We start from the raw sequence: 15,267 nt of genomic DNA on the forward strand, positions 1-15,267 counted from the left end.
CAAATCTAGCTCTGTTTATTCTAAAGTTATCCTTTGAAGACTACAAACTCCAACATGTTTTATTTCTCTCCAGGCTCTTCATCATTCACTCCCTCTGTAGCTCATACAATACAGACAATATCAGCAACAGCAGTTATAGCTCTAACTTTCATTTTCTCTCTGGCGCCCAAAGTGGCCCAAACCTGGAGACTGTGGCTCAACTGCCTTTTGTGTTTTTGAACATTAACTTTCTTAAAGGAACAGACCTTAAGTTCTTCCTACAAAATTAGTATAATGCACACACTTATCCCCATTTGTAAAATGCCCTCTTTCCTGGCAGCACGTGCCCATGGCCTCACTGAACCTGCAGTTAAAAGTGGCATCAGCTTGCAGCAGCAGTCACAGAGCTGTGCCACTGTGCTGGGCCGTTCCTAACACAGATGTTCTCCAGAGCCACAAACACACCTCCTCTTGGGCTCAGAACACAGCTAAAGTGCATTTAGCATTTTGAAATTTAAAACATGTGCTTAGATGAGTGCCACTCTTGCTGAACAATCAATTTGCATTACATTAAATTAACAGTAATGGAGGGCTATAAAATTACACATTTTATGCATTAAATTTAATGATGAAATAATAGGTAATAACAGGTTACCAATTCTGACATAACTATCACACAATCAGTAAATTCACTCAACAATAATGAATAACTTCAAACATCCCATTTCCTGGGTAACAATCTTGAAAGAGAAACATATAAATTGGAAAGTTATTGTCCACCAGGAAAACATACTTACCCTGGAAAGAGACATACAGGGGGCCATTAACCTATAGCATATGGTTACCAGAGACTTTTCCATGCTTTCTTTATATTGAGTCATTTGGGAAGAATAAATACAAAATCACCTCTATTTTGACATGCTGTTTCCATATCATTCATTTTTATGGTAAAAAACACTAACTCACATGCTTGGAATAGGATGAGAACAAAGGTGGTAGTTCTTGGTAATCCAAGAAAGTGAGAAACATATGTATTTGGTTCTTAAGATTCATTTGGGTTTTTAAATTAAACAACATGATTTATTTTTACTTGTTTTTTTCTCTAATTATCTATGAGCATGAGACACTTTTCAAAAAAGAAGTACTTAAAAAAAGTGACTCACATAGACGTGGGATGGAGCTAGATGGTTTCGTGTATGCTGAATGATGTATGAACAAAAATATTCGGAGAGCAGACTTCATACAATATAAAAACCTAAGTGCTTCATGTTGGCCGTCATTACTCCCCCAGGGTTACGAAGACCACTCTGAAAATGCTCCAGTTGCAATGTTTGCCTGTTTTGAGCACCGATTTTTGGATGCCCTTTGACAAAAATGTGTGAGTCTTTATATGGCAAGAAATCCAAGTCCCTCCATGCCTCCAGATCAAACTGCTACCCCTCAGCAAAAAGCTTGTACCCCATAGATAGAGAAGCTCCTAGAGATACAGGGAGGGCCTTTTCCTGCACAGTCTAGGCTGCATTCTGTGGAACGTCTGTGCCCCTCGGGACATCAAGAGGTGCTCTGAGGGGGAAAAAAAGCCATTCTAAGCAAAAACAAATGTTCTGCAAATGCTGGCCTAAACAGAGATAAATGCCATGACAGGGACACTGCATAAAATAAAATAAAAAAATAAATTAAATTTAAAAAAAACACAGGCCGGGCGCAGTGGCTCAAGCCTGTAATCCCAGCACTTTGGGAGGCCGAGGCGGGTGGACCACGAGGTCAGGAGATCGAGACCATCCTGGCTAACAGGGTGAAACCCCGTCTCTACTAGAAATACAAAAATTAGCCAGGCGTGGTGGCGGGCGCCTGTAGTCCCAGGTACTCGGGAGGCTGAGGCAGGAGAACGGCACGAACCCAGGAGGCGGAGCTTGCAGTGAGCCAAGATCGCGCCACTGCACTCCAGCCTGGGCGACAGAGCGAGACTCCGTCTAAAAAAAAAAAAAAAGTTAAAAACGTTTCTTTTTAAACTGCAAAACTCTCTATCTTTAATGCTAATATGCACTGAGAAGCAACAAAGGGGTGATAGGGCAGGCAGTGCTCCCCAAACTAAACTGACCACAGAAATATTTTCCACAGAACAACTACAGCTACCTCACCAATCACCATCGTTCCACGGAGCACAGTCTGGGAAACACTTGTCTAAATAGATTAGAAGAATCAGGACATTTTGCCCCAAAAGACCCAAAGTCTTGCTTACTTTCTTAGAAAACAAAAACAAACCAACAAAGTAATGAAAGAATAAAAAGTAATTCACAAAAAGACTGGGACATAAAAAAGGAGGGCGAGTCTTAATACATCAACTTTTGGATTTGCAGGTGAGAAAATGTGACCAAGTTAAACCAGAGGCCACCTAAACTGGCAGTCCAACAGTACTTCTGTGGCTTTAAGGGACTTCGTTCTCACTGTGGGGAGCAGAGCACTTCAGAGAAGCTGATGTGCTCGATTCCGCAGGGAGAGCTTCAGCGGAACCCCTTGCTCACCAACCTCTTAATGAAATCGAGAGAGTCGACTACTCCTGCCTCCGTGGCTGGCACCAGGGCAGGAGAGACAGAGTGAGTTTAAGATCTGATAGGAGAAAAGAACCCAAAAATAAATCACAAGAAAAAATAAAAAGATGTCCACCCCTAAAAGCTTGTAGCTTCATTTTCTGAAAATTCTAGCCCCTTGCCCTGGGTTTTCTTTAAAAATATAGTTAAATGAATTGGATTGAAAGGAATTGTTACCTGATTGGAAGTTCCTCTCACACCAGAAAAGTTCTGTGAGATGCTGGAGGACACCATTTGGCACTTCCCAGACTTCATTTGCACATTCTCAGTTGTACTGCTATAAATGTAACCACTGGTGTGCATATACATTCACAGTACACTGAATGTACAATGTTGAACTTATTTTTCGAGAGAGAAAAATTTCTCTTCAACATGTCAATGGTCTCATTTTACCAGTGTCTGCTCACTTCCAAAAATGCAAAGACAGAGGAAGAAAAGTTCGTTCTGTCTTCACTCGCCTTATGTATACGCAGAAGGCCCAACACGGTACCTAAAATTTTCAGCAATACCATGATTCCATTAAGAGCTCTGGATACAGGTGCTTTTAAAGTAGGTTAAGGAATTATGTTGCCTGGTAGGGATACTTAACATACCAGCACCTGTAGGTGTGCTTGATTAATAACCCCCGCCAAAATTCTACTCATCCTTAAAGACTCAGTTTAAATGCCATCTCCTTCAACATATATTCTGTGATGTTGCCACCCGGATGTGACTTCTTCCTCACTTTTTAATTGTTATCTGCTTGAACTCCAAAACAATGCCCCGATCCAGAGCAATGGAACCAGGGAAGATACGTTCCAATGGCAGACAGAAGTGACGAGGAATGATCTGATCCCTATGGGAGCCACTGGTGAACTAGAGATCTACAAGGGGACCCCAAAACTTTAGCAAGGAATAGCAATGTGGAGATATGGATGGGAGAAAAAAAAACCTCATAGCAGAGGCGCAGAGCTGACCTTACAGCAGTTTTATCAGGGGTCAGCCCTTTGCCTAGGGTTTAACGCTGGTACTCTGGGCAGTGGCGGGGGGTCAGGGGGAAAAGAAGAAACTATTGTACCTTCATATTTGGAGAATATTTTTAGTCTTGTGTTGACGTGTGAGCTGCCAGCACAAAATACACCAAACACCTTCCTAACTCCCTCAAACCAAATAAATAAATGAAAAGAGAGGCTGTTGAAAACCTTGACAAGCAGCTTGTCAAGAAAAGCTGTTTTTTCACACAAGAAACCTCCTTTCAGAACCCTAAATCCTACCAACTTCCATTCTATTTGCAGTACCCTTATCTGTTAGTATCACAACGGAAAAGTGTAAATTGGACCCAAAAAAATCCTCTTTATTTTTAAAGCCAAAAACTGATCAAGGAGTTCTGTCTACATTTCAAAACACTGTATGCATATTTCAGAGATATATTTATAGACCATACAAAGAGGTGCAATATTGACTTCTGGGGTTAATGCAATATCCCATAGATTTATCTTATACATTAGGTTCTTCAACCTATGTTACTGAGAATAAATTTTTCATGATCAGTTAAGCTTGTAATCGATGTAGAATTTGGAATGAAGTATTTATCAGAACAATTTGTGACTGGAATGATTTAAAGCCAATACACATGTTATGTAATCTTCTGCCCTGTTATAAAATCCAACACAATTGCTTAGGACTAGCGAGAGACACCCAGAGAGCAAAAGAAAATCTAGAAAAGTGGCAAAATGATCCATTTTAATCCCACTGACCAGCATGAGAAAGGAAAAAAGAAACCAGAATAATGCATTTTTAAAAAAATTTTAGAAATCTATTGGAGAAGAAACCTCAGAAAGACTTTAGAAAAGGCGTCAACAGCTTCAGAGATACAAGACTGCTGAGGCTCAAACAGTACTACGGCTTGATTTCATAAGGACAAGATTGACCCTACCCAGAACAGCCAGAATGAGAAATGGGGAGTGTGGCTTTATCAGGCACACAGCAAGGTCCCGCAAGCCTGCCTGGCAGGCCCCTACCTACTGCTTTGGGTTTAAATATCCTCAAATCGCCCTGCAAAATACAAACAGGTCGACTGCAGGAGGCACAGAGACAAACTTTCACGTGAGCTTGGATTGGACTAACACCTCATTAGCAAAGAGCTGCCTCACTCAGGGTAGGTTCAGGAGGGGGAAAGAGAGCCTGATGCCTGAGCAGGTGAGTGCTTCCAGGTGGCTCCTGGGCTAAGTGGAAAAGGGGAGGGACAGGAGGGTAAATATGGGGAAAGCCTCTGAACAAAGTACAAAGAAGGGAACAGAAGGAACTAAGACAGCAGTTACCCTTTCACATTTTGTCAGAGGATCACTCTGTGAATATAACAGTAACAATCTTAATTTCAAACTACATGCAATATAGACCATTTATAAAGTTTTTTTTTTTATTGTTGTTACCCTGAATATCTCTAGGATTTTTCTGTGGATTCCCAGAGTGTTTCAGCTGAATTCTCTAGCTCCCCACCTCCTCTGAGCACTTGCTGGCATATTTCCAAGCTCCTCTGGCATCTCTCAATTCCTCAGGAAGATACCTATTAGCCCCTTCATCTTCCTTTTCCATTTTGAATAAGACAGTCCAATCTTGACAATTATTAACTATAACTCATCAAATATGTTCCTCTAAAAAGACATATTTAGGGAAGCACTGACAAAGACACTAACAGACAAGCTGCTTCATGCTGGTTCCCATTAAAATATTTAAATATGTTTTCAGGAAAGAAAACTTTTAAGTTATTTTTCCAAAACAGCTATAACACTGATTTCAAACCTGACAAAAATAACCAGAAAGAAAAGTCAGATCACTCTAATTTATAAATAATAATGTAAAAATATGAACTCAAACATGAGCAGACAGAATCCACCAGTGCAATAATAGAATAAGATACCACCACCAAATAGAGCTTATTAAAGGGATACCAGGATCATTCAAGAACAGAACTTTTACCTCTGTCATTCATAATATCAATACATTATAGCAGAAAGATCCTATAATCATCTTCACGGGTGCTAAAAAAGCATTCGACAAAATCAAAATCCATTCTGATTTAATAGGCCCTTAATAAAATAGAAATCCATGAATATTTTTTGATATGGGAAAGAGAGATATAGATACACATGCATCAGCTCAAAAGCCTAAATCATACTAAATGATACCCTAAGAGGCATTCCTATTAAGACAAGAATGGTCATTGCCAATACCCTATAATTTTACACTTTCTAATTAGTACTAGTGCAATGAGGAGAAAGTCATGAATAATAAAAATTAGAAAGAGACAAAATTATTATTTTTGCAGATTATACATATATGTACCTAGAACGCCAAAGAGGATCAACTGAAAATGGATGGATACATTAGGAGAGAAGGCAGATGCTTATAAAGCTAGTACACATAAATAGCTTATATAAACAAAAGCCAATTAAATATACAGAAGAAAGGTATCATTTTTAAGAGCAAAATGGGCATATATTTAAAAAAATAAATTTAGAAAAGTATAGAATTCACAAGAAAAAAATTTTAAATCCTACAGAGAGATGTAAAAGCTGGCAAAATAATGGAAAGACAGACTTTGTACTTAGATGGAAAGACTCATTGTAAAGATGTATTCTCCCCTAAATTTAATGTGAATCCAATAAAAATGTCAATAAGAGTATTTTGAAACTTGGAATGTTAATTCTAAATTGCACCTGAGAAATTAACCTGTGAGCATTGCCAGTAAAATTCTGAAATATAAGGTTATTAACTCTATTGGCTATTAAGACATACAGTAAAGCTAAGGAATTAGAACAGTTTGTTATTAGCAAACCAACAATCTTCTGAGGGAAAAAATAGTTCAGAAATAAACATAATGCACATAGAAACATTTGTTATATAATAAAGTTGACATTTCAGATGTGGGAAAATGGTGGATTGTCTAATAAATATGTTGGTACAACTGGCCAGTTAGTAGGGAGAAAATAATGCTGGTTCCACTCTCACTTCTTACATAAAAATAAATCTCAGGTGGCTCAAATATTTAAATGTAAAAAATAAAGATCTTAGCGGAAACAAAGGAACATTAGAAAAACAATAATCTTAGCATAAGGGAGGCTCTATTAGGCAAGGAACAAAAACCAAATGCTATCAATCAAAAGAGAAAGAAAAAAATGATAAATTTACATTGCATTCGAAATTTCTGAAAGGCAAAGAAAACCACAACAAAGTGAAAAGCAAATGACAAAGAGGCAAAAGTATCTGCAACTAATATGTTAGATAAAAGGCTAATTTCTCCTAAACAGAATCCCTTCAAGTCTCTAAGGAAAGAACAAGAACCTTGTGTAAAAATGGGTAGGGTTATTGTCCTCTACTGGGCTCCCTGGGAAGCAGATTTAGGAGGTGGAGAGTCATGTGCAGGTTTATTGGGGAGTATTCTCAGGATCAACACCCACAGAGGAAGGAAAGGAGCCAGGACTGTTCAGAGACGTTAGGCAGTGATGAAATCACAACAGAGACCTCAGCTGATTCCACGGGCAGCTCGAGCTGCGATGGCCATTCAGAGTTGTCCCAAACTGGTAAAAAAGGAGCTGAGCCTTTTAGTTTTTGGATGTAGGGTATTCCGAGGAAAGGGGCGTGACTTGGCCAGGGGAGTGTGTTCAGCGAAGGCTGAGTTCCTTCTGCTACCCACATGCACAGCAACTGAGGACTGAGAACTTGGGTCCTACAGAGGGATCTGGGAAGCTCAGCACAGCTGCCATGACTGTTAGTAGGAGGCAGTCCATAGAAACAGAAAAGCAAATAATGGCTAGTCCATATACAAAAAGATGCTCACTCCATTCATAACAAAATGTAAATCAAAACAAGTATCATCTCTCTTATCAGATAAGCAAAGATAACATGGTTGGCAACAGAGTTGTTAATACTGATATTCTTAATGCTGTTGAGTGGAATATGAAACTCTAGGATCTCTTGGAGGAAAATTTGGCAGATCTTTCTAAATTTGAAATACACCCTTTGACCCAGCACCACATTTCTAGGAATTGTTTCTATAGACAGAGTCACATGTATATCCAAAGTATGCACTAAAGTTATTAACATTGGCTACTTTGGGGGAGTATGTCTGGAAGTGAAAGAAGGATAGGAAACTATAAGTTTCGCTGTATATCCTTTTACAGTATATTGAATTTTTTATTCTGTATGTGTTATTTTTAAAAATATTAATGGTCAAAAAGGAAATCTGAACAGGAATTTGAGATACCTATCTATAAAGATATCTTGATGGTATACGCCTCTATCTAAAAGAAGCCTTTTTTTGTTTCCATACTACTATATCTAAAATATCTTCTAGATTATCTTACACTCAATGTCATAAACTTACTTCTCTATACAGGATATCTGTACAAAGATTTTAAAAATCTAGATGTATTTATCTTATGCATAGCAAACTACACCAATTCAACTCAAATCCTGGCAGTTGTTAACACTTTTGGAAAGGGAACTGAGCTACTGATATACTACTGTGTGCCTACTATACTAATAGGCACTTTAATACATTATCTAATGTAATCCCAACAATCCTGCAAGTTACGTCTTATCATTCCCAATTTACAGATATGGACACAGAATGCACACAGGTTAAGTATCCAGTGCTCTGTCATACAACTGAATGTGGGGGAGTCCAGGCTACATCTAGATGTGTACTTCCTTCGATAACATGCTCCTACCTCCCAGGGTATTTTCCTTTTGGCTTCCAAAACATTTTGTAAGCAACCACTGGTAACCTCAAATAAGTGGTATGATTTCCATTATAAAGAAGAAAAGACTGAGAAAGAGTAACAGAGAAATGTCTTTCTCTAGCTCAGAAAGCTACAATTTCACATAGTCCTAAAATGCCTGTCTTCATCTTTCTGTTATCTCCTTTTGAATACACTTCAATCCACTCATAACCCTTTTCCTAAAAGAGAATTCAAAAGACTGAGGTGGAATCTCTGCCTCAGTCTTCCTCTTTGAATTGCCATCAGAAAAACGATCAGGGGAAATATGTTCAGCCAAGAGAAGGGGGCAGTATCCCAGCACCATCATTTTCCTTTTAAACACTAAACTCCAGGCTATATACTGGAAACCTATCTTAGGGCCCATTATATGAATCCCACAGAAAGAGACCCACAAAATTTGGAGACAAAAAAGCAATAGGGAGACAAAGTGAAGGATGCTTCTCTCAAACATCAGGACAATTTACTTAACTAATGAGTTATGAGATAGCAGGTAGCTTGAGTTTCCCAATATCCAACGGAATTGTTTCCCAAATGAAAACAACCAATGCCACCAAAAATTAGACTTGAGCCAATGGCAGAAATCCTTTTTACAATATTTTAATCGTAAGTAATCAGAATGCATGATGGGTTGGTTTAAAAATATGTCGAGGATTTTTCCCCTAGATAGTGTTGCTGTTATCCAAAGGAAAGATGCTATTGCTTCTGCTCCACTGACACTGTTTATCACTTCGCCCAGACCCTTCAATAGAAATTGCTGTTTCTCACTGCCGACCATCTGTTGTCATCTACATGAAAAATCTACATAAATCCCTACTAGTTGCTGTATTTCAGAAGTGCCCCCCACCAAAGAAAATCACAGATTAATTGTTGCTGCTTTAAAACTCTAAGAAAGGGAAATGAATCTAAATATACCTTCCTCCCCCCAACACACATACACATACACACACACACACACACACACACGCACACACAGCAACTTTCATCTATAATTTAGAAAATGGATGCAGTTCAGCAACAGTTAAAGACTAATTTCTTATGCTTTTTGTGCATTTACATAATTGATTCACTAGATAATGCACTCTGCTTCCTTATTTAATAAACATGTTAATGATTTCAGACAATTACTCAAAGCTGCCTACAAGTGTCTGCCTAAGAAAAGCAACAAAAAATAATTAAAATGAAAATACACACCAAAAGGCACATCCTTCATATCACATTACACAAGATATTAAGTCAATATGTCACCCTGTCACCAGTCACTTGCTACCTGCTGTTATACATTTATTCAAATTCTAATGTATTAGCTGAGGCTGATACATTGGTTAGACACCCAAGCGGGCAGACACACAGAGCTAGAAAATAAACCTGGTGCTTTGTCAGGGTAGAGGCAGTAAAATAGCAGCAGCAAAGGAGGGGAGACAATAAAACACGGGACAGAAACAGAAGGTTGAAGCAGACGCTTTCACAAGAAAACCCTCTTCAGGCTATTCATGGTGGGGGGCAGTCACGGGGGAACTAAATGGATTCCATTTCCTCTGCCACCTCTGAGTGCTTGGAGAGCACCAAGCGGGCCAGACATCACAATAGGTTAGATTTTGGCAGATGCCTCATGCATTCTGGCCATTTTCGGGCTTATTTTATTCCCCAGAACCTTTGCATGCGTCAACCACTAGTCATGCCTTGAACCACACAGCACCGTGGTCGTTTCCACCACCCAAGAGAACCGTAAAGGTGGAAAGGGGCATTAAAGGAGCTCAGATGCCAGACAGCCACGACTTTGGCCCTCTGTGGTGCCTGGCCAGTCCCACTAGGCTTGGCTCTTCCAGTTCCTGCTGGAAGCCATGTTGCCTGGGCACCGTGAGGCTCACCCTCCCTCCCCAGCCCTCCAGGAAGAGAGAGGTGGGTAACCCAACAGGTGCAATAGGACTCTGAAGAAGGAATATGAGAGCTTCCAGCCCTTGCTAGAAGCTAGCTGATTCTGGCTGGGGAAGTCCTGGTTCCAAACCTCATAGAAGATAGGTTGGAAGCAGGAAAAAAAGATGAAATTATTTGAGGAGAAAGTTAGCTGTCCATCAGTAACTTCTTCCGCTAGAAAAGGAGTGTAGGAAGAAGAGTAAGTAAACAAGAGGCTTGCTTGACCAGGTGACACTCTTCACATTTCTAAGCCCAAGTGTCCTAGCTGGAGTTAACCCATGACTTCAGTCCTAAAAGAAAGGTTGATGGTCAGTAGGCACGTGCGCACACGCGTGTGTGTGTGTGTGTGTGTGTGTGTGTGAAATCTTTAGGTTTTTTTACCTGCCTCCTTCACTGTATAAGCCCAACCTGTTCACTGTGTATCATGCAGAGGAAACAGGCAGAAACTTGGCAGGGCAGGAACAAGGATAGTTCATCCAGAATTACCTTAAGAAATAGGCATTTTATCAGGAAGGTTATGGAGAGCCACTAGGGGACTTGAAACAAAGGGTGACAGAAACTGTTTTGCTTCCAGAAGGATCATTCTGGCAGTAAGGTGGAAAATGGCATGAAGGGAACAAAGAGACCAATGAGGAGGCTGTCACATCAATCCATCGATGCCGAAGGCGTGAGCCAAGGGACTGGCAGTGGAATCTGAGTGACATCAGCGGCAACATGGGGCTAAAAGAGGAGCCACTGAAGTTTTGAGGATCAGGCCACAGCAGTGATGTGGAAGGAGATGCTGGTCTCAGAGTGGAAGGGAAACAGGAAGTGGGCAGGAGGTAGGTGGGTATCAGGGTGGAAGAGGAGGTATGGTCCTTAACACAGCTTTGTTTCAGTTGGATGCTGGCATTCAGGTGCCTAAGGTACATCCAAATGAAGTATTCAGAAGATGGTGCCGGAATTCTGCCTGTAGTTTCACTCTCCCACATATTAAATGGTCCACTAGACTACAAAGGCAGCAAAAGGGATCTTTTACCCGGGTTATGGCATCACCCCGCTCACCATCAGAAAGACTCTCTCTAGTCTCTGGAAACAACAAGGCATGAAACAGTAGATCCACTCCTATCAAGTAGCAATAAAATACCTAATCAATAAATTAATTTAAACCACCCCTCCCTTGAAAAATAAAGAACAACATAAATAGAATGGGAAGGAATTGCTTAATGACATTAATTGCACTCCTGCAATTTCATGGCCAATTCATTCATGTTAGAAAGTGGAGCAGATAATTCTCTAACCAAATGTCCAATATTATTATGAAATTCTTATAAATCTACTCAGCAGTTAATTTAAAATTAGATTAGAATGGGATCATGAAGCCTGACTAGGCCGAGGGGAAAGGTAACCTAGGTGACCTTTTACAGAGGCAAAAATCTACCCAGGTATGAAAGTTGATTAACCAAAGGGAGTGCACACACCCTGCCTAAAAAGCGTGTGGACTGCAGAAGGGAGGGGCAGCTGCATCTACGGATAGACCCATGATGGGGGCTCCCTCTGCAGCTCTGTTGGGGCTTCACATCAGACAATGTGCTCGGTCTTCTTGATGATGCCTTCTACAAATGAACAAAAGCTACATTCCAGGATTCCAAATGCTGAGGTGTGGCTTACGTAATCAAATGTGAGCCAGGTGTTAGAGACTTCATCCATTCAGCTGACTCTGTTCCTGTGCTATCTCCTACAGAAAAGGCAGCCTCCTCGCCAGCTTCCACCAGAAATCCAACAATCCCAGACCTATTGTGATTGTTCGTGTTACTGAAGGTCTGCAGAGCCATGGCGGGGGAGTTCCCATCAGAGAGTCTCTTTCCATGTCTCTGTGCCTAGCAGCTCCATCTCTGGTCTTTCTTGTCTCTCTTCATCTACAGAGAAACCTCATCTTGAAATCTGGATACCCAAGGACTTCACTCTATCCTACAACGAACTCATCAGACAAGTTTCTCATCAAAAGAACCCCACCACCACTACTAGAAAAGAAGTTACTTCAGCGGTTAAGAAGACACTATTCTCTCTAAATCATTTCCTTCTTATTTATTTATTTATTGCCTTTCCTATCTCCCTCCAGAAAGGATCTGAAGAAACTTACAGCAAAGGAGTGATGTGCCATAATTCAGCTATGAGGAAGGGAGGGAGAAAATACCCTGACCCCATGATGATTAGAACTGTTGAGATTCCATATGAACTCCAGCCAGGAGCTCCAGGTAGCCACAACAGAACGGAAAGCACTATTCTGGAATAGCTATTTATTTCATATTGTCATAATGATAAAACATCCTGATACCCCAGAGGAGAAAACTTCAGGGCAGCTTTCAAAGCATCAACTTGGAAGGCCAAATTATTGGATAAGAAGTCCCATTTTGTCTCATTCATAGCCATGTGACTTCAGACAGTTTTCCATTTTCTTTATTATTGACTTAAGGAAAGAACAGATATCGGACTGGGAGTCAAGAATTACTGGTGTGATGATGAACTCTGAGTCCAATGGCAAACAGCTTCACCTTTCCAGTGAAACAGGAGGCAAGAACCAAACACAGAGCTTTCCATCTCCAATGTCATATGGTTTTTAAGATAAGTATCATTGGTTTTCAAAGAGTACTACACATGGTTAAACTCCTTTCTATGTGGAGAGACAGGACTAACACCCCTTATAAATTAACTCCCAAGCTTATATAGTATCTTCAACAGCCTGTGGTTCTGTGTAACAATAAGCCACACATGACAAGGGGTGTTCCACCATATTTCTTAGAAGTAGAAGAAATACACAATCAGAAAACCATACGCGAAGCATTTATTGGCCTCCTTCAGTTAATCCTCTTTGGGCTTATAAAGCTCTACATCAATTGCCATTCTTTAAAATACAGTGTACAGTTTAAAAATAAGCACTGTAGAGCCATCATTTGCACACACATGAACATTCACAAATAATATGTACATACAAACAGACAGTCTCATACATTTGGTCTATATTTAATGACCTTGTTCAGCCCTCCCTATGCTAACACTAGTATGTATAACAATCTTAATTTAAACCCATACTCAAAAGATAACATTCCTAATGAAACACAATTTCAAATTGGAGTTAAATCTGTCTCCTAGACCAAAATATACAAAAAGGCTCTTGCTTATATTTTTAAACTTCATGTGACTTATTTAAAGATTCAAGGTTTTCGCTGAAATGAGGCATAGATGACTAAACTCATTTCGGCTAAGTAGTAACTCAGGCAGAATTCTACCTGTGGATTTGGATTAATACTCCTCATCAAAACATATGGAAAGCAGTTTGACCAGGGGAAACTATACTTTTCTCTTGTTCTGTTTAAGGCAATGGTCTGAAAAAAAAATGTGCTGGGAGGAAAATTGCCATTTCTCTACTTATCAGTGGGCATTTGTAATCATTACATTGTGTCAGCTGCCCTTTGGTGCTTTCATTTTTTAAATTAATTTAAATAGAACTATGCATATCTGCAGAGCTTTTAAATTATTAGAAGGCAAAGACTTACCTTACCAAGAAAGAGAATACAGGTATTGGAACTTCATGGATTACCTGACGCAAGATAGCAAGTAAGTTGCACACATGCTGTAATTCCTACCCATCATCCAGAGCAGACATCACCAATAGATCATGAATAGCACTCTTTTACTCTATGCCCAATGTAGCCTTAGATTTCTTTTCATTGCTACCAATTGATAGTACATGAGATGAAAGCTTTTTGTATTCTGTGATGTCATCCAAGCCTGATGTTATGAGAAAGACACCAAACAAACTCCAAGTTGGGTAAGATACACAGTAGTTAGGCAATAGAGCCAGGCCTACACCCTGAACTCTAAGCTCTAAATACAGTGCTCTTCCACTAGACATTAAGCGCAATGTTGTACACTTAATATGTAATCCTAAATAGGCTGAGTGAATAGATGAAACTTTCCCCTTTGTTCTTCAGTACCTTCTCCTTTTCTTTTGGAAAGATATGTCTAGAACAAAGCTCCTAATCATTATTAAGTCATAATTTTTGGGTACCAAATGAAGCTTACTAGGCAAATAAGAAATACTGCAACTCATCCATCTGTTCAAAATACTGGAGTGTCCCATTATAAATCATCTCATGATATCAATCTAAATATCCTGCATGTTAAATCCCACAGGATAAGAACTGCACACCTCTGATTTTGCTACTATTGATCTGTGACACCTTGAACTGAATATTCCCTTCTCTGGCCACCATTGTCTTTACCTGTAAAACGAAAAGTTTCAAAGATCTGACCTCTAATATACTTTTTGAATACGAAGCTTATCAAGCATGTACTTTAAATTCAGCAGCTATTTATTAAATGTCTCCTGGAAGCAGAGCACTATGACAAATGCAAGGCAAAGCCAATGGAAAAAAAACCTAAATTCTGGATTCTGCCCTCCCTCTAGTTCCTGCATTCACTATTAGCACATGGTTTGTCTTGCCACTCGCCAGGCCCATATCACAAAGAGGGCCCACTGTGCTCTAGAGTTGTGGAAAATCGTTGTTCCCCTTTCTCCATGAAGCTGTCAGTCAGAGTAGTTTGGGAAAAATTCCAGTGCGATTTCATTCTCCGCAGCTCAATAGCTTCTCTATATGCAAACTAAAAACAAAAAACAAACAAATACAAATTCCACCAAATATCCTGGTGGAGAATCATAAACCCGGAAAGGCAGTGGCAGGAAAGCAAATGTTATAAACACATATTTTAAATGAACGTTTTTCTGAAGTCAACACCTAAAACTCACATTCTCTTAAAGCTTCCCCAACTCCTAAACTGGAGAAATAGTTGAGTTCCTGCCCAGCTATCAATGAAAAGAAGCTACTAGAAGGAAGTGGAATAAGCAAGCAGTCCCGAGGAATATGAAAAAACATGCCCATTCACTGTGAGGAAAAGAGTCATTACAGATCTAATAGATGTTTCCTTCCAAATCAAACATGTTTATGAGCAAAAGTAATATTTATAGTTAAATATCATAT

General features: G+C 39.6%; 1 protein-coding gene across 2 annotated transcripts in view, besides 1 other annotated feature; it reads right to left on the reverse strand.

Annotated features, from left to right (window-relative positions):
* Positions 1-15,267, reverse strand: part of RORA (RAR related orphan receptor A) — a 741,019-nt gene that overhangs the window by 648,905 nt on the left and 76,847 nt on the right. The window lies entirely within an intron of this gene.
* Positions 9,604-10,105: an enhancer, noted in NCBI's record as "H3K4me1 hESC enhancer chr15:61438991-61439492 (GRCh37/hg19 assembly coordinates)". NCBI's record gives its function as "activates a minimal SCP1, AML or CMV promoter by ChIP-STARR-seq in primed H9 embryonic stem cells {active_cell/tissue: H9 hESC(primed)}" and the evidence as "EXISTENCE:reporter gene assay evidence [ECO:0000049][PMID:30033119]".

This window comes from Homo sapiens, chromosome 15 (assembly GCF_000001405.40).
Source record: "Homo sapiens chromosome 15, GRCh38.p14 Primary Assembly".
NCBI lineage: Eukaryota > Metazoa > Chordata > Mammalia > Primates > Hominidae > Homo > Homo sapiens.